The sequence below is a fragment of the Homo sapiens genome, chromosome 7, assembly GCF_000001405.40.
Source record: "Homo sapiens chromosome 7, GRCh38.p14 Primary Assembly".
NCBI classification, from domain to species: domain Eukaryota; kingdom Metazoa; phylum Chordata; class Mammalia; order Primates; family Hominidae; genus Homo; species Homo sapiens.
In genome coordinates, this window is record NC_000007.14 from 112,308,048 (window position 1) to 112,327,884 (window position 19,837).

Sequence of the window (19,837 nt, forward strand, 5' to 3'; positions counted from 1 at the left end):
ATAAATTGCTATATTTGGTTATCTTCATATCCATTTTGCCAGAAGTTTGTCTTTGGAGTATATGCGAGCAAATTATGTCACTCACTGCCAGATGTTCTTTGGATAGTTTTCTGATACCCACCCAATAAGGGCTTGGCGTCTGCTAACACTTTACTTAAAATTTAATCTGTTAAAAATTGTGACCATGGCTGGGTGCGGTGGCTCACTCCTGTAATCCCAGCACTTTGGGAGGCGAGGCGGGCAGATCACTTGAGGCCAGGAGTTCAAGACCAGCCTGACCAACATAGCGAAACCCCTTCTCTACTAAAAAAAATAAAAAATTAGCCAGGCGTCATGGCACATGCCTGTAATCGCAGATACTTGGGAGGCTGAAGCACAAGAACCACTTGAGCCCAGGAGGTGGAGGTTGCAGTGAGTCGAGATCATACCACTGCACTCTAGCCTGGACAACAGAGCAAGATTATGTCTTAAAAAAAAATTGAAAAAATTATGATCATGATATATATGAGGTACAACTTTGGAAGCCAATAGTTGGTGTTAGGAGGGCGGATGAGGATTAGTGGACTCTGGTCTAGTGTGTGGCTATTCTCTTCAGTCATTTTTGAGTAACAATTAAATGACTTTTCATGCAAGTTCTAGTCTGTGCTTAGGATGTAGAAGAGGAAAGATGTTTTCCCTCACTCACCTCTAGTTTCATGGCTGAGACCTGTAAAACAAAAGACAGATTAACAAAGGAAAAGCATACAAATGTATTTAGTATGTTTTACTTGACTCAAGAGCCTTCATAAGGAAATGAAGACCCAAAGAAATGGACACCTGTGCATTTTTCTGCTAAATTTGATGAAGAAATGGATAGTTGTGGGGAAGTATGATTAGACAAGGGGGATATGATCTGGTAAAAAACTGGAGAGGACTTAGCAATATCTATTTGTTCAGATTCTTCTGTTTATCTTTGTGTCTTCAGAGATAAGGATGTTCCTTTCCCCCAGGTATAAGAGAGGGTACCTTTTGAATGAAGGCTTTACGATCTACTTTAGGGGGAAAGGGGAAGGAGGAGGTAAAAGTGAGCTTCCTGCTTCTGCTCTTCCAAGGTGCCATATTTTGGGGTGGCATGTTCTGAACCCCATCGCTGACTATGCAGTTTTTACAAGAGTCAACCCAAATGTCTCCTCCTGATGATCTCCTGAAGCCTGTGCCTCTGTATCCATGTGAGAGTCTATAAAAGCAACATTCCAGATACTGACTGGAAGAAAGACAGATTCAAGATTATAACCAACGAATACTTACAAAAACTGTGTTCAGGGAAGATTGTTTGAGGAAGACTGGAGACTGATTGTTTAAGACTATATAGAAAAATTTCATAATTTCCCTATATAGTCTTAAACAATCAGTCAGGAGACAAGAAGTATCTGTACTGCATCATGACAATCCATACCCCACCCCTCTGTACCGTTTTCACTGAGTTTGAGGGTGTGCTTTGGGATGAGGGTTAGCTTTTTTTAAGGCTTGATATTGGAAACAGCCCTATGTTGTTTTTTCTATTAATCCTAAGTATATTGTCCATGATGCATATACTTATTATATACCCACAATGACTCTGACACCAGTTACCTAGACAGGCCAAACTTCACAGGTTAAGGGCACAGCCCTCCACAGACTATCCTCACTTCAAACACCAGCCACAAATTGGGGGTTCCTCAGGATACTTTGGCTTCTCACCATCTGGCTACAAATTCAAGAGTTCCCACTACTCTCTCAGGTTCAGTAGTTTGCTATAATGACTCACAGAACTCAGAAAAGCACTATACTTGTGATTACAGTGCAGTCATAGCAATAGGATACAAATCAGAACAAGTCAAACAGAGAGACGCATAGGATGAGATCTGGGAGATTCCCAAATACAAAGCTGCCATCGTTCCTAAGGATGCATTGTTCTCCTGGCACATCAGTATGTAACCATACCCAGACTAATCCCTACCAAGAAAGTTTACTGGAGCTTTGGTGTCCAGAGTTTTTATTGTGGCTTCATTGAGTAGGTATAATTGATTAAGTCATTGGTCACATGGTTGAGCTTGATCTCCAGCTCCCCTCCCTTCCCAGGAGATGAGGCTCATCTTATGTGGCTCAGAGCCCCAACCCACTAATCACATTGTTGGTCTTTTCTGGCATGGCCAGTTCCCATCCTGAGTCATGTCATTTATATAAACTATCAGGTGTGGTCAAAGGGCCCACCATGAATAACACAGACCCTCCAGTCACTCAGGAAATTCTCAGGGTTAATAAGTTATCTCCTAGGAACAGACAACAAGGGCCATCCGAATTCTCCACACAAACCCTTTACCTGGTGTGTTTCCCTTGTCTGCCAAAGCTGAGAGCCACATTTAGGGCCTACCTTTAGGTTAGGTTTGAGAGAGAGAGAGAGAGAGAGAGAGTGTGTGTGTGTGTATGTATTTTATTTTTTATTTGCAATGTAGGTGCCACCCTACTTTTTTCTTTCTTCTTTTACTCCCATTTCTATGCTACATTGTTCTGTAGCAGCTTGAAACATTTATTAGAACAAAGTGGAGGTATAAGTGAAATAATCCCAGATACCTCAGAGTTAATCCATGGTTCTTAAAATAAAAAGCAGGAGAAATAGGAAATTCTGCTGCCTTTCTGTGGAGACTTTGGGCCACTGCTATAATTTTCATGAGGAGATTTGTTGTGTTCTATATTGGAGGAGTGCCACTGGACTCCTAGGCTGAGAATGCCTAGCTGGTTCTGCCATGCTGCTGCCTTTAAGCTGGTTTGGGAAGGAACCTGAGGAGTGTGCCTTTTTCTCTCATAGCCACTCATATATCCATTTAGCCAAGAAACTCTATTGTAAATCTATTACTTGTCAGTATCCATAAAATGTTTTTGATAGCCATAGCTAATAACATCCATCTTGGTTTTACTTTCGTCTGTTAATCCAGGTTATTTCCATTGGATTTGTCCCTTTAAGCATCAGTTTTTTACTTTCCTGTGTATAAATTCTTACCTAAATAAACATTTTTTAAATTGCTCTTTCATAAATTGACTGGTTTTTATAATTTTCAACCTAACTCACATTTTCATTTTCTACCTATGTGTCAATCCCCTATGACTATGTTGAGTGCCATCTGCTATATCTGCTGTTTTATTAATTTTTTCTCTGCTTTTAGCTTATGAATAAAGATGAAAGACTAGGCATTGACCCCTTTGCTGTCACACTTGACATTTTACACTAATTAGAAAAACATATATAGCTTATTATTATGACTCTGCCTAACACATAAGTTGATCTTATATTCTTACAACTATGGTTTTATCTAAGTGTATTTGTAATGAAAATATTAACTGATTTTTATCAGCTTCTTTGAGAGGCTCAAATGTATAATGTCTGAGCCATGCTCTTCATCTCCCTATTCCTAGTATATAGCCAAGAATAAACTTAAATGAATAAAACCTGATATATAGCCCAGCATGAATTTTTTTTTAGAAAACATAAATCCACAAAGTAGATGGGCACATCTTCGATTTGCACATCTTTGTGGTGCTTTTTATGGAGTGTCTCCTAATTTTTTTTATTCATAAGTGACTTCAAACATATGCCACAGCTAATTCTATCTGATGCTAAGCTTTATGAAGGAAAGAAAGAGTAAGGGAAAGAAAAAAAAAGAGGGAGAAAAGGAGGAAGGGAAGAAGGAGAGGAGAGAAGAAAATAGAAAAGAAAAAATACTTTTCTTCATTGTGCAAGTAGCTTCTACTCAGTTTTCTCCCTGATCAGCAATTGTCAGTATGTTTACCACAGAAGAAGGATGCACAGAATTTAAAACTGTTTTGTTTTCTCACATCCTATCAAGGTAACAGCAATAGGAATAAAGGTGCTAGGGCATAGTGATATATGACTGTCTTCTACCTAGACTCCTATTAACTACTGGAGGTTTTGAAGAAATAGAAGCCATGGGAAACACAGCAACTCCATTCAACAGTTATTGTGCACCCTGTCTATAATGCCCAGGGGAGATTACAAAGATGAATAAAACATTTCTGCCTTCAGTGGGCTTATTATCTGGTAGACTACATTTTGAGTTGATTACATAGAGATGATAACATTAACAACGTTTTCCTATCAGTCATTCATATACTTTGGAAGACTATTAGTTTGGAAAAAAAAATTTTTTCTATGCATCAGAGCTTGAGTCCTAGGCAGATGAATTATTTTGTAATTTAAGATTTAGACGTAGAATACCTCACAACCAAATGAAATGTGTGAACCTAGGGTGGTCTTGAGTAGAGGTTAGGGAGGAACATTAAAAGACATTCTTGGGGTAATTGAATAAATCTAAGTATTATCTGGACACTACAAGCTATTTTAAATTTACTGTTGATTTTCTTACTTGTGATGATAATGGTTTTGTGGTTATACATAGGGGAATGTCCTTACTCTTAGGAGAGGCATGCTGAAGTATTTAGGAGTAAAGCATCATCGTATCTGCAACTTATTTTCAAATAGTACAGCCAAAACAAAGTATATAATATACAAATGTACGCGTGCATGTGAAGAGAGAGAAAGAAACAGGCAAAATGTTCACAGTTACCGAATGTAAATATTGAGTATAGGAATGTTAATTGTACTGTTGATTTAACTTTTCTGTGTTGGTGAAATTTTTCATAATAAAAAGTTTTAAAAAATAGAAGAGTAGCAAAGTTTAGGGATAGCTACCTGTCTTATTTAGCTTCCTGGTTTACCAATTCATTTAGAATGTCATGACATAGCTATGTCAGCAAAGGCAATTTCAACAAATAAAGGAGAGCTTTCTTCTCCTTACTGAATTGATTACAATACAATAATGAAAACTGTTCCAGACATAATAGTTACATATTTAAAATATTTTTTTCATATTTTATGTATAAGTGAAAAATGGTCAAAAGTATATGTTATATCTTTGTTGTTATTTTAAGAAATTTACAAGGCAAAAGTACTTTGTAGACTAAACTTTATTAGAGTGGAAAGGAGGAAAACCTTGATCTCATATTTCAATTCTTAATATTTTTTAAAAAATGAAACAAAAGTAATTGTGTTCTATACCAATGTACTTCATTTTCCTTAGCTGTTGGGCTTTATAATTATCACTAATTCGTTTCCTTATTATGACTTGCATCTTCTATTTTGCTCAAAACGTCATGTTAGTAACAAACTGTATTTGTGCCCTTAAAAAGTATGTTTTAAAATTTTTTTTTTTTTTTCAGACTGGGCCTCGCTGTCTTGCCCAGGCTGGAGTGCAGTGGTGTGATCACAGCTCACTGCAGCCTCAAGCTTCTGGGCTCAAGCGATCGTCCCACCTCAGTCAGCCTCCTGGATAGCTGGACTACAGGCACGCACCACCATGCCTGGCCAATTGTTTTATTTTTAGTAATGATGGGGGTCTCCCTATGTTGCCCAGGCTGTGTTTATAGTATTAAAAGTAAAAATGATTTTTTAACAGTAAAAACCTATCCCCAAATCCCTAGTCCTATAGCAAGTAAAATTCTATGTATCTCTGTATATATTTTGTAAAAATTGTCTGTTGTAAGTTTAAAAGAAAACTTCAGGATTTTTAAAAATCATAATCAACAGTAAATTTCTTGGAATAGTTTACATATGTAGTAGACCATTCTCTTTGTTTAAACAAATTATCAACTTACTGTCACTGTGGGAAGCTCTTCATTTTACTTTATAAATGAAATATAAACTACATAATAAGTGCCAACCATATGTCAGTAAGGGATAATCAAGTGTGTTATAAACCCCTTTCCTTTGAGAAAGCCATTTTGATTTTCAGTAGAGCACTTAGATTTGTAGTGTGTATGTTGTTGCACCTCGGGTATAAATGTAGTCATCATGTATTTATTGAGAATCTACTATAAGAAATTGTGTGCATGTGGCATAGAGGAACTCATTTTCTGTGAGTAGAGATGGTTGGGACACAGTTTTCCTGAAGACCAAGCAATATAGATGCCAACTGAATGCTATAAAACTATGGTAAAAAAGGAAGTATCACTTCTAATACAAAAACAGTCTGGGAAAGTCACTTTAATGATTTGTAGAATGTTTCACAGGCAATTTAGAGATCATCTGAAACTGAGTCCTAGAGAAGTGGTATGCCCAAGGCCACATTAAGAGCTACTTCGTCACAAAAACAGGACAAGAATACAGAACCCCTAAGTGTCAGGCCATTATTCTTTCCACTCACCACAAAGATACAGCATTTGAACTGACCCTTGCATAAGCAAAGATGGGCAAAAGAGGGAACGATTACTCCAGGCCATTGAGTGGCTTCAGAAATCATAGTAGGTAGTTCAGAACCGCTATTGAGAATAATACACAACTAAATAGTGTCATATGTTCTTGCTATTCCCTATAACATAGGATTGTATGAGGAAGAAATGTGAGAGAAGACTTTTAAAAACCTAGGTTAGAGGCCAGGCGCAGAGGCTCCCACCTATAAAGCCCAGCCCTTTGGGAGGCTGAGGGAGGAGGATCACTTGACCGCAGGAGTTCAAGGCCAGCCTGGGCAAGATGGAGAAACCCTGTCTCTACAAAAAAATACAGAAAATTAACCGGGCATAGTTGTATGCCCCTGTAGTCCCAGCTACTTGGGATGCTGAGGTGGGAAGATCGCTTGAGCCCACGAAGTCGAGGCTGCAGTGATCCGTGATCATGCCACTGCACTCCAGCCTGGCTGACAGAGTGAGACTCTGTCTCAAAAAACAAAACAAAACAACCTAGGTTGGAATCAAGTACAGAGTATTGTGAATGCCATGCTAAATACTGGGGATTTTATTCAGTAGAAAACAAGGATCCATTAAGGTGTTACTTAAGATTTTATTGATTACCAGTTTTAGTTTTATTTCCAGATAGTGTAATTACGTATTTGCAGACTAATTTTTTAAAGGTTCATTTACAGTGAAATTTTGTCTTCCATCCCTCTGGGCATGCATCAGATAAACATACTTTTAAAATATATGTATGGGGAAAGTCCTTCCTATAAATCCATCCATCTGGTATCTGGTAAGCTCAGTAGATCCAAATTGAAGAGAACTCAATAATAAGAAACAAACCCTACCAGATGAAAATAACTCCCCCGACGCTCATCTGAGGAAGATATTGGAAGCTACTTTTTCTTAGGTACCAAACATATTTGAGTTAATTTTATTCTTAGAATTTGATGATCTGTTTTTCCTTAGCTGAGTTTTGGGAGTCCCTAAGTCCCTATAGTTTTGTTCTAGGTTAAAAGGAAGAACGGAAGGTCTAAACAGAGGATAGCTAATGTAGAGGAGGTGTAGATGGGGGAGCCAGTTGGTGGGTGTAGAAGTAGACCCACTAACAGGGATGAAAAGCTTCAGTGAATAAAGGGAGATAAACATAGATGGCCATAAAAGAGAGAGAATAAAATTAAAGCAAAAGAGCACAACAGTTTAGAGTCATTTGCAAAGTGATCCTGAAAGTAAAATACTTTTGCATTACAGTACAGTATGGTAGTAATTGTTCACAGCAAAGACCCTGTATCATATAGAACAGGTTAAATTATGTCTTGAATTTCGAATACAGAAAAACATGAGAATTGTCTTAGAAACCGTCTTGTGCAAAACTTAACCAACTTCAAATAGCAAATTAAAATGTCTGTGACCTAGAAAGTCTTAGAATTCCTCTTTTTCTAATTAAACTAGAAATAAGGAATAATTATATTTGCATATGTTATCTATGCTGTTATTTTAGTGTGTTCTAAGCCCCAAATGCTGAGTGGCTCATTTGTATTGAATTCATCTCAATGAGGCTTCCGTGTGGGTATTTTGTAAGAAAGATTTTAATGCTGCCCGACCTCTCCAGATCACTGTCCCCTGGCTTCTGAAGTTGTTTGTTCACTAAATAAGAAGGTCATTGTTCTAAGCTCTGTATCGACATGTGCTACAATGGGTACCTTCTGAGAAAAAATTAAAAGTGATATCATGAAAATAGCACCAAATTTGGCACCAAGTAGCTATGCAGCTTTAAACAAATCCCCTAACATCTCTTACAGGGAGTCAGTAGATAGTTTCATGAGATCCCTTTCAGCTGTCATGTTGTAAAAAGCCAGTTCTACACAATATTGGTCAGAAAGAAAATCTTACTAGAGTAGAGAGGTTAGATGTAGTTAGTAGAAATAGAATATATTAATGGGGAACACTGGAAAAATTGTCTTTTAAGAAGTGTCTGTTCATATCCTTTGCCCACTTTTTGAAGGGTTTGTTGGTTTTTTTCATATATTTCTTGGCTGTATAAGTGTCCTCTTTTGAGAAGTGTCTGTTTATATCCTTTGCCCACTTTTTCATATGATTGTTTGTTTTTTTCTTGTAAATTTGTGTAAGTTCCTTGTAGATTCTGGATATTAGCCCTTTGTCAGATGGATAGATTGCAAAAATTTTCTCCCGTTCTGTAGGTTGCCTGTTCATTCTGATGATGGTTTCTTTTGCTTGCAGAAGCTTTCTAGTTTAATTAGATCCCATTTGTCAATTTTGGCTTTTGTTGCCATTGCTTTTGGTGTTTTAGTCATGAAGTCTTTGCCCTTGCCTATGTCCTGAATGGTATTGCCTAGGTTTTCTTCTAGGGTTTTTATGCTTTAGAGTGTTGATGGGAGTATAAATTAGTTCAACCATTGTGGAAGACGGTGTGGCAATTCCTCAAGGATCTTGAGCCAGAAATACCATTTGACTCAGCGGTCCCGTTACTGTGTATATACCCAAATGATTATAAATCATTCTACTATAAAGACACATGCACACATATGTTTACTGCAACACTATTCACAACAGCGAAGACTTGGAACCAACCCAAATGCCCATCAATGATAGACTGGATAAAGAAAATGTGGCACATATACACCATGGAATACTATGCAGCCATAAAAAGGGCAAGTTCATGTCCTTAGCAAGGACATGGATGAAGCTGGAAACCATCATTCTCAGCAAACTAACACAGGAACAGAAAACCAAACACCACATGTTCTCACTCATAAGTAAGAGTTGAACAATGAGAACACATGGACGCAGGGAGGGAACATCATACACCAAGGCCTATCAGGGGTTGAGGGGCTAGGGAAGGGATAATATTAGGAGAAATACCTAATGTAGATGATGGGTTGATGGGTACAGCAAACCACCATGGCACATGTGGCACATGTCACTATGTAACAAACCTGCATGATCTGCACATGTATCCCAGAACTTAAAGTGTAATAAAAAATTAAAAAAGAGAAAACTGAGGATTAAAGAAGTTAAATATCAATTATATGTGAGAGCCATATTTCAAATCCAGATCTGCTCCATGTTTCAGAGCCTGAGCTCTTAACTGTTGTACTGTGGCCAGAAATGGTTGCACGATAGAAATAGGAATCAAGTGGGATCTTGATTAGCAGATAAGATTTGTGAAAGTGAAAAAGAAAAAGGAAATAAAATGACCTCAGGAAAAATAACATATGGAACCACCTTGATTAGAGCAGGATATTATCAGAGCATATTTTAAATTATTTGAGTTGAGATGCAACAAGTTAATTATGCATGAAAATATTAAGAAAAATTCTAGCAGCAAAAAGAGGATGAATATGTTAGAAAAGGGATTGAAATCAGGGAGAACCTTTAGGAGACTTTATTTATGGTAACCCACAATGACTAAAAACTGAACTCAGAGGGGTGACCTTGGGAATGGTAGAGAAAAGTTATATGGAAGATAGTTCAAATGAAAAATTGATCAGAACTTGATTACAAATCAAACTGAGAATTAGGGAAAAGAGCAAGTCAAAGATCCCAGCACAATTTTGGTTTTGGAAGAGGATAGGGATGGGAAAACACTGGAAAAGACAGGGTAGCAAAGGACGGTAAAACCTTGTTGATTTTAATTCCCACATAGCTGTTAAAGTGGAGTGTTCTGTAAGCATTTTATGGGACAGACTTGGAGTTTAATGCAAAAACAGGAATGGAGAAATTTGAAATGTTGGCAACTTTTATATACTCCCTTTATGCTTCCAGCCCAGTTTCCTCCCATCCAGACTTTGACATTTTTTATTAGCCAATTGTGCATTAAGATAATACCATAAATCTGTTTCTACTTTCCAGAGAGAAATTCTGGAACAACAGCAGCAAGAACGAAATGATACCAATTTTCATGGCGTTTGTATGTTTTGCAATGAAGAATTCCTTGGAAACAGGTTTGCCATTTTGCATCTTTAAATGTTACTGTTTTTAATCTGAAAACTCATCAGAACATCCCTAACTGTTGGTTATATAAATTAAGTTCTATGTGTTGGCTCAGGACCCTTTCGTATATAAGCAGTCCTTTTTAAAAATATACCCAACGTCCAAGATGAACTGTAGGTGCTCTAAGCAGCAGAGGGGTATAAATTCTTAAAATGACAGAAGCAGATTTATGTTTAATATTACAGGACTTTTAAAATTGGCTGACCTGCAAGACCATATGCAGCAAACTACTGCAGATGCACCTCTGTATACTAACTCTTTTCTTCTAAATCATTGGTAACTTTTCACTTTTGGTTATTAAAAATAAAGACATAAAAAAGAAGTGGGGGCACTGGTGATTCTATCACCAACCCCAGCTGGTCCAAAACCAGCTGGTGCAGTACAATTCAATTCTGGCACTAATCACCTGGGATTAGCATAAGGTTTTACATATTTAAGGGCACAGGCTCAAACAAGACTGCCTTCACATTAGACACCAGCCATAAACTCATATGGTCCCAGGGCTACCCAAAGTTTTGACCACTGGTTATAAAGTCAGAGGTTCCCACTGATAATTTCATGGGTTTGATAATTTGCTAGAATTACTTACAGAACTCAGGAAAGCACTGTACTTATGATTACAGTTTTACTATAAAGGATACAGATTAGAAACAGCCAAATGAAGAGACAAATTGGGCAGGGTCTGAGAGGGTCCTGAATAAGGAGTTTCTGAATCCTCTTCCCAAGGAATTAGGACCTGTCACCTTCCTAGCACATTAAGGAATTCAGCAACCAGCAACCTACTCTGAGTTTTGGTGTCCCAAGTTTTTATTAGGACTTCATTATGTAGGTATGATTGATTAAATTATTGAACTCAATCAGCAGCCCCCTCCCCTCTCTGGAGGTCTGACTGGCTCAAAGTCCCAACCCTCTAATCATATGGTTGGTCTTTATGATGAACATTCCCCATCTGGAAGCTATGTAGGGTCCTACCATGAGTCTCCTCATTCATATAATAAAGATACTCCTATCACTAGAAAAATTACTAGAAACTTTGTGCTAGGGACAAGAGACAAAGAGCAGACACATTTATTATTACGCATCAGCAATGTTTACAAATATACATTCACTTAAATACAAGTTATGAAGTTGTAACCTCTAGGAACTGAGGATGATTTCACTGATTCAGCATACAGGGGACAATCAGAAAAATATCATTCTCTGCTCACTTGAAAGAAAGCAGTCTTTAGTGAAAACATAGCCCAGCACAGTAACTGACATTGTTATGTGAAAAACCTTGGAAAGGAGAAGGTAGCCACTTATTGGAATTTATAAATTATAATTTATAAATTATATAATATATATAATATATATTATATAAATTATATAAATTTATAAATTAAATTTATAAATTATAAAAGAGTTTAATTGAGGCATTAATGTTCAAAACACCAGTGGTAAAGGTTTGATTCTCAGATCAGTTAGCATAGAGAAAAATCGGTGCCAAGGCCACTGATCGTACTTCTAACTTTGTCCTTCTATTTCAAAGGACTTTACGGGCATAACAATAAAGGCTGGTCTTAAAAGTTAACTTAAAAGTACCAGTGAAAACCCATGCCACCATCAGAAAATTTACCAAACATTACTACTGACAATGTTTTAACAAAATATTTCCGATTTTATGTTGAGGTAATTATTGACCTAGTGAGGAGGCATGTGATTATCATCAGAGATCTCTCATATCGGCATATGGGAAGCTACAAATGGTATTTTTGTTTTCTATAAAGTTCTAGTGATTAATGTGGATACTGATATGATTTGAAATATCCATATGCCATTAAATTCTTACAGTATTAGTATTTGAACATATTAAATATTGGTGTTTCTCTAGTTCCTAATATAATCCTCCTGTTCTTCTAGTCTAACTTATCTGCATTCTGTATTGAGTAGGGTCACATAGGAATTACATGACCTCCTCAGTAGTCTTGACTTATGCCATTGTTCTGTAGTAAATGCACATTTTTTTAAAATAACCAGTGAGAAAGATAAATAGTGTCTAGTTCTTATAAAACGTCCCCTTTCATTCATCAGTTCTTTTCATTTATGAAAAGCTCAGCCTGTAAGATTAAAGACACAACTTGATTCCACCTATGCACTATATTAACAGTGTTGCAGGCATACATTTGTGTACGCCTTGGGACATAAATATGGAATATTTGTGTATGCATTGGGACATAAATGTAGAAAGAAGGAGATGGATAACAGACAAGGATAGAGTAATGAGTACTTTCTTGTTACCATACATCTACTTTTTCTCCTCTCCTCCACACCCTTCATTGTTTGTTTTAACCTGTTTGTGTCTTTGAATCGAAAGTATATCTTATAGACAGTATACAGTTGGATCATTTTTTATCCATTCTGCCAGTCTTCACCTTTTCATTGTAGTACTTAATTCGTGTTTAATGTCATTACTAATAAGATCACATTTACTTCTACCATTTTGCTATTTATTTTCAATATGTTTTAGGTCTTCTCATTATTCTCCTCTATTGTTGCCTTCTTTTGTGTTGAATAGGTATTTTCTAGTGTATGATTTTTAGTTCCCTTGTTTCTTTCTTTTTTTTTTTTTTTTTTTTTTGAGATGGAGTCTCACTCTGTCGCCCAGCCTGGAGTGCAGTGGCAGGATCTCGGCTCACTGCAAGTTCCGCCTCCCGAGTTCAAGCCATTCTTCTGCCTCAGCCTCCCGAGTAGCTGGGACTACAGGCGCCCGCAACCACGCCCGGCAAATTTTTTGTATTTTTAGTAGAGATGGGGTTTCATTGTGTTAGCCAGGACAGTCTCGATCTCCTGACCTCGTGATCCCCCCGCCTCAGCCTCCCAAAGTGCTGGGATTACAGGAGTGAGCCACCGCACCCGGCTCCCTTGTTTCTTATACCATAGATTTTGAACTCTTTTTCTTAGTGTTTGCCCTGGGGATTGCAATTAACATTTCAATTGAAAACAATCTGTTTCAGGTTAATAACAACTTAATTTCAATAATATGCAAAAACTTTGCTCCAATATAATTTGTTTCCTCCTCACTCCTTTGTGCTATTGTTGTCATACAAATTATACCTTTATATATTATCAGCTCATGAACATGTTTTCTAATTACTGCTTTATACAATTATCTTTCATATCAGATATGAGAAGAAAAGGGTCATAAAAATGCGATTATACTGTATTTCATATTTACTTATGTAATTACCTTTACTGGTGATCTTTATTTATTTATGTAGATTTGAGTTATTGTCTAGTGTCCCTTTCTTTTAACCTAAAGAACTTTCTTCAGTTTCTTGTTGGAGAGATCTGCTAGTAATGAATTCTTTCAGTTTCTGTTTATCTGGAAATGTCTTGATTTGTCCTTCATTTTTTTTCTTCCATCATTTTTTTGAGGAATAGTTTTACAGGATGTAGAATTCTTGACTGAGAGTCTTTTTCCTTCAGCACTTTGAATATGACATTCTACTGTCTTCTAGTTTCCATAATTTCTGGTGAGAAATCACTTACTAAGGACTGCCTGCCTGTATGTAAGGAGTTGACTTTTTTCTTGCATCTTTCAAGAGACTCTCTTCATCTTTGCCTGTTGACAGTTTACGTGTTGGTAAGGATCTCTTATCTCTTGGTAAGAATCAATGAATTTGAAAATTGTTCAATTGAGATTTTCCAGTCTTCGGGACAGAAGAAAAAAAGAACAAAAAAAAATAAACAGCTACAGAGATCATCAATCAGATTCTTCCCCTGCCCCACCAGGATTTGTGTTCCTGTTTGTGTGTTTAGTGATTTTCTTGGATTAATTCTCTTGATTTGTCCTACTTGAAGTTTATTGGGTTTCTTAGATGTTTAAGTTAATGTGTTTCATCAAATTCGAAAAGTTTTCAGACATTATTTCTTTAAATGTTGTTTCTGCCCCCTTTCTCTCTGTCTCTGTTTCTCTATCTCTCTTTGCTCTCCTTTTGGAGCATATTATACATATGTTGGTAAACTTGATCTCTGTAGCTGTGTTTATTTTTTTGTTTTGTTTTTTTCTTCTAAGACTGGAAAATCCCATTTGACCAATCTTCAAATTCATTGATTTTTACTTCCAGCTTAAGTCTTTTGAGCCCCTCTAGTCAATTTCTTATTTCAGTTATTGTACTTTAAAATCCAAAATTTCTATTGGTTGTCTTTTTAAAAAAAATACTTTCTGGCTACTATTGGCCACTCTGCCTATGTAAAATACATAATAATTTATATCTTTTTATTGGTATTCTGTTTGGTAAGATATCATTTTCATAATTTCCTTTGATTCTTTAGACAGGGGTTTCTTTAGTTCTTTTGGGCATATTCATATTAGCTAACTTAAAGTCCTTGTCTGGTGTGTCAACATCTGGACTTTCTCAGGGGTGATTTCTGTTTCTGCTTTCTTCCCCCATGTATGTAGAGGAAAGTTTCTTATTTCTTTGTATGTCTTGTAATTTTTTTGTCAAAAACTCAACATTTAAGTAATATAATGTGGCAACTCTGGAAATTGGATTCCTCCTCCACCCCACCAGGGTTTTTGTTACTTTTTGTGTGTTTAGTGACTTTCCTGGACTAATTCTCCAAAGTGTGTATTACTGCTACTGTGTGGCCACTGAAGTCTCTGCACAGTTAGCTTAGTGTTCAGATAATGATCCGACAGATTTCGTTAAATTCCTTGAACCACTGTATCTTCTGCCTTTTGCCAAGGGGCTTTGTATGTGGGTTGGAGCATACCTTCAACACTTCATCAGTTTACAGTTCTGGTTTAGCCTCCACTTCTTGCTTGTGTAGAGTTTCAGGGTTAATCAGAGGTGAGAGAGTAGGATCTTCACAGGTTTTTCTGGGGCTTACATAGACCAGCACATGTGTACTGCCTTCTAGATCCCCAGGAAAATGTCAACTTTTCAGAGTCCTCTGTAGACACCTCATTACCCAGATTTTCCTTTTAAATGTTTTGGCCTATTGTTTGCTGCAATTAGTATTGCCTCAGGCAGCTGTGATGTTACAAAATTGTCACTGATTGTTTCTGGCAAATGCCCTAGGGGTGAGAATTTTTTCAATGGGTGGACTGAATCATGTCAAATAAAGACAAACCCTGTGAATGTGCCTTTTCCCATCACCTGCCATACAGGCTGAATAGTAACAGTTCTTGTAACAGTTCTTTCAGAATGGCCCACTTGTATTCTGCCCCTTCCAGTGGCTGTGAGCCTGCTGTTGTCAAGGCTATTGTGGAGCTAAGGGGAGGAGAATGGAATGGGGCAAATTAAAACATCACAAAGCTCACCATTCTTACCACAGTTGAGCCATGTTTCTTAAATAAATGTTCCTTGGATTGTTGCATCCTTTCTGTTAATTCCAGAGTGCTTAAAAAGTTGATTTCGACCATTTTCACCAGTGCTACTGTTGCTTTAATAGAGGAGCAGATTTTCAGAGGTCCATGCCCCACTGTTCCAGAAGTGCTTCTCTCAAAGCTATTTCTGTAATTTAATCCTGTTTGCCCAAATCACATTTATAAGTTTAGTGAAAACTGATTACAAACAGTATTAAACCAGGACAAAAAATGAGATCAGAGAGCACTATGTAGGGAAATATTTGTTCCTAAAGTATAGGGAAAGAATATTTGAAAGGAAAAGTACATGAAATAATATTTTAAGTAAAACTTCATTTCAGCCCAAAAGGTATTATGTATTTATAGTTATTACATGCTTTTAAGGACCATTGTGAATGTGAAAAAATATAATACCAGTGCTACTTGATTTACAGTGGGGTTACATCTCAATAAAGTCATTGTACATTTAAAATATTGTAAGTCAAAAAAAATTTAATATACCTAACCTACCTTAGGCATGCTTTGAACACTTACATTAGCCTACAGATAGGCAAAATTGCCCAACACAAACTGTACTTTATAATAAAGGTTTGAATATCTGATGTAATTTATTGCATATTGCACTGAAAGTAAAAAACAAAATAGTTGTATGGGTACTCAAAGTACAGTTAGTTCATTAATAATAAAATTAAGTTTATAAAGAAAGGAGTTGCAATAATAATTTAAACTGTTATGCATTTAATTTCCCATAAATTAAAGCAAGTTGACATTAGGAATTAATTTAAAAATTAAAGAAGTAATTCAGCAATTTGAGGAATCATCTTGGCTGATCAAGAATTAAAGGACTTCAAAATCTGACATGAAGCAGATCACATAAGGTGCCATCTCTACTCCAAAGCCCCAAAGATTTTCTTGGCCCTTTACCAACCAGCAACTGTGGCTACAAGGGTGAAGCCTTTCCTCCCTTCTCACCTCAGACTAATAGGCTGAATCAAGCTAATTTTGAATTAGCTAGCAAACCACTTAGGTACTTGTATTAGTCAGGGTTCTCCAGAGAAACAGGACCAATATTATATATAGATATATAAGCGGAGACATATTATGGGAATTGGCTCACACAATTATGGAGGCCGAGAAGTGCCACAGTATGCCATCTGCAAGTTGGAGATTCAAGAAAGCCAGTGGTAAATTCAGTCTGAGTCTAAAGGCCAGAGAACCATGAACTTGAATACCTAGGGACAAGAGAAGATGAATTTCCCAGCTCAACTATCTGGGCCCCCATGGCTTGGATGATGCCTCCCCTCATTGGTATGGGCTATCTTCTTTACTCAGTCTGCTGATTCACATACTAATCTCTTCCAGAAACATCCTCACAGACACACCTAGAAATGCTATTTTTACCAGCTATCTGGGCATCCTTTAACCAGGTCAAGCTGACTTGTAAAATAAACTACCATAATATTGGAGAGGACAGCCAGCCCCTTCTTGAGCCTGCTGCCAGTTCCATCTGTACCTGGCCCCCTTTTCAGAGCCTGGATATCAGGCTTGGAATCCTGGGTAGTCCTGGCTAAGGCTAGGCCACTCCTAGGGGAACCTCACCTGAAACCAGAAGACATCAAGGACCACCAGTTCAGAGCATGGGACCAAGTGCAGACTGTTAACCCCACCAACCCTCTTCCTAACACTGACTTTGCCTTCACTCAGTCTCCTTCCAGCTCTTAGATGTCAGTCATAGAACCCTTGGCAAACCTGGCTCAATTTTGGCCCACTGTGGTAGAACTGTCCTTGATCCAGAAGGCATTAGGGATGGTAGCAATTAAGTATGTGGCCAGGGTAGCCTCCCAACACTCATATCTGCTTTGAGACAGCTGCTTGTTAGCCCTCGTTCCCTCACTTTCAATATCTGTATTCCTGTCTGGCAGGCCCCAAAAAAGTTCAGAGCAAGCCTAGGCTCACACATGGGCTTGTTCTCTGGGGCAACATTGCCTGAGATCATGGGGACCTTCCTAGTACACCTATACCTCCTGAGCCAGCTCTTGGTCCATTCCAAGGCTTGGGTGTCAGGCCTGAAAGCCCTGGGTAGACCTGACATGCTTGGTTACTGTTGGGGGAACACTTTGGAGTCAGGAAGGTCTGGCCTATAAGCCTGGAAACAAGTTCTAAGGACTGTCAGTCTGTTCCACCCACATCCCTCCCAGCAAGCTGCTGGCTGCGGCCAAAATCCTTGCTGAACCAATCCTCTTAGGTCCCAGAAGCCACTGTGGCCTACCTGAACAGAGTCTTCGAGACTGGCCAAGCCTCCAAACTCATTTACCCCAGGAGCCAACCACTGGCCTCTCATCTCGTAACTCAGACTCTAGATGCCAGATTCTTGAGCCCCAGAGAGGTTGAGAGCCGGATTCAGCTCCCCTGAGTACATTCAGTGTGACTCTTAATGGCAAGATATTTTGATCCTAGATAGACTGAGGGTGAGGGAAACCTCCCAACCCACCCATACCCCTTGAGTCAGATACCATTTCTGACAGCACCCAGGCACAATCTAGGCTCTAGATCTTCATCCTGGAAGTTCTAGGCAGATGTTAACTATGGCTCGGCCACTCTAGGAGAACCTCCCTGAATCCAGAGGCACTGTACTTTACCCCAACATGGCCTCGGGGATAGGGGGAACTTTCTTACCCTCTGCCTGACACCCTTCCCCCACCCCAAAACACACACACACACCTACCACACTGCCTACAAGAGGCTCTCAGCTCTGCTTTCACCTGAACTCTTCCACAGCCTGAGCCTCAGGTCTGGAACCCCTGGAAAGGTCTAGCTCTGTCTGGGCTGCCCCTGGGAAAACCTTTGTGGGCCCAAAAGGCACTGTGAACTACCCCAACAAGTAGTTTTAGTCAAAGTTATCAGTAATAGGCAGTGAGACAAATGAGCATACTAACCACAAGGTTAATAAATGTATCTCTTACATAGTTAAAAAAAAAAAAAGTCAACAAACATTTTTATAGAAATGTTTGCTTTATTTCTTTATTTCACTTTCTCAAGGGGAAAAAAAACACTGAAAACATTTTTTTGGGGGGGGACCAGGTAAGTGTCTAAATAATCTAGATAAAACCATATGATATGTCACTATGCATAGTCTATCAATGGTACTTATACTGATGAGGCTCTCCAAAACAATCACCTTTATTTTATGAACTAAAGTTGTGATAAAAGCTCTGTAGAATATACTATACACATATGCTTTTTTGCTATGTAAAAGTTACATAATTACATTTGTCCTTTTCTGTATAAATTAATCAAGAAGTTGGTCATTGTTTTGCAGGTTATCACAGCCCTTGCATTTAATAGACCTGTTAACTGTGGGTTCCAGGTCATTGTCCAATGATACTCTGGCTAAATGCCTGTGATCTTAGGTCATAGCTGGTTGTATTTTCTGTTAGGCAGTTGCCTCTTACTCGTCTCCATGATGAATTGGAAAAGTAGAAGCAGCACAGTTAATTTAATAGTTTAAAGCAGTGATCCCCAACCTTTTTGGCACCAGGGACCAGTTTCAGAATGAAACTGTTTTATCTCAGATCATCAGGCATTAGATTCTCATAAGAAGTACACAACCTAGATCCCTCGCATGCACAGTTTACAAAAGGGTTCGCGCTCCTATGAGAATCTAATGCCACCACTGATCTGACAGGAGGCGGAGCGCAGGTGGTAATGCTCACTTTCCCGCCTCTCACCTCTTTCTGTGCAGCCTGCTTCCTAACAGGCCATGGACCGATACCCCTGGTTTAAAGGACAGAACCTGATTCTTCTATAGAGTGTAGCCAAGCAGCAGATAGTAGAACAAACTTTGGTATCCCTTTACAGAACTGATGTGACTGTGTACACTTACATACTTTATAATGTCACTCTTTAATAGCTGAAATCTTTGTGTTAGTGCTTAGCACTTGCTTATACCTCTAATTAGTGTTTTTATTATGTGAATGCTATTCCAACCCAAATGTGTTCTTAGATGATTTGTGAATAATCCTAATTGCTCAAATTTCTTCCTAGATCTGTTATTTTGAACCACATGGCCAGAGAACATGCTTTCAACATTGGATTGCCAGACAACATTGTAAACTGCAATGAATTTTTGTGTACATTACAGAAAAAGCTTGACAAGTAAGTACTGATTTATGAAACACTGCCTAAAGCTGTTTTAATCTTGGACTCTGTTGT

General features: G+C 38.0%; 1 protein-coding gene across 3 annotated transcripts in view; it reads left to right on the plus strand.

Annotated features, from left to right (window-relative positions):
* Positions 1–19,837, plus strand: part of ZNF277 (zinc finger protein 277) — a 137,240-nt gene that overhangs the window by 101,353 nt on the left and 16,050 nt on the right. For all 3 annotated transcript variants that reach the window (NM_021994.3, XM_011515768.4, XM_017011720.3), the window contains 2 exons: positions 10,135–10,226; positions 19,670–19,780. In NM_021994.3, the coding sequence (NP_068834.2) occupies positions 10,135–10,226; positions 19,670–19,780 (203 nt within the window). The remainder of the gene's footprint in view (positions 1–10,134; positions 10,227–19,669; positions 19,781–19,837) is intronic.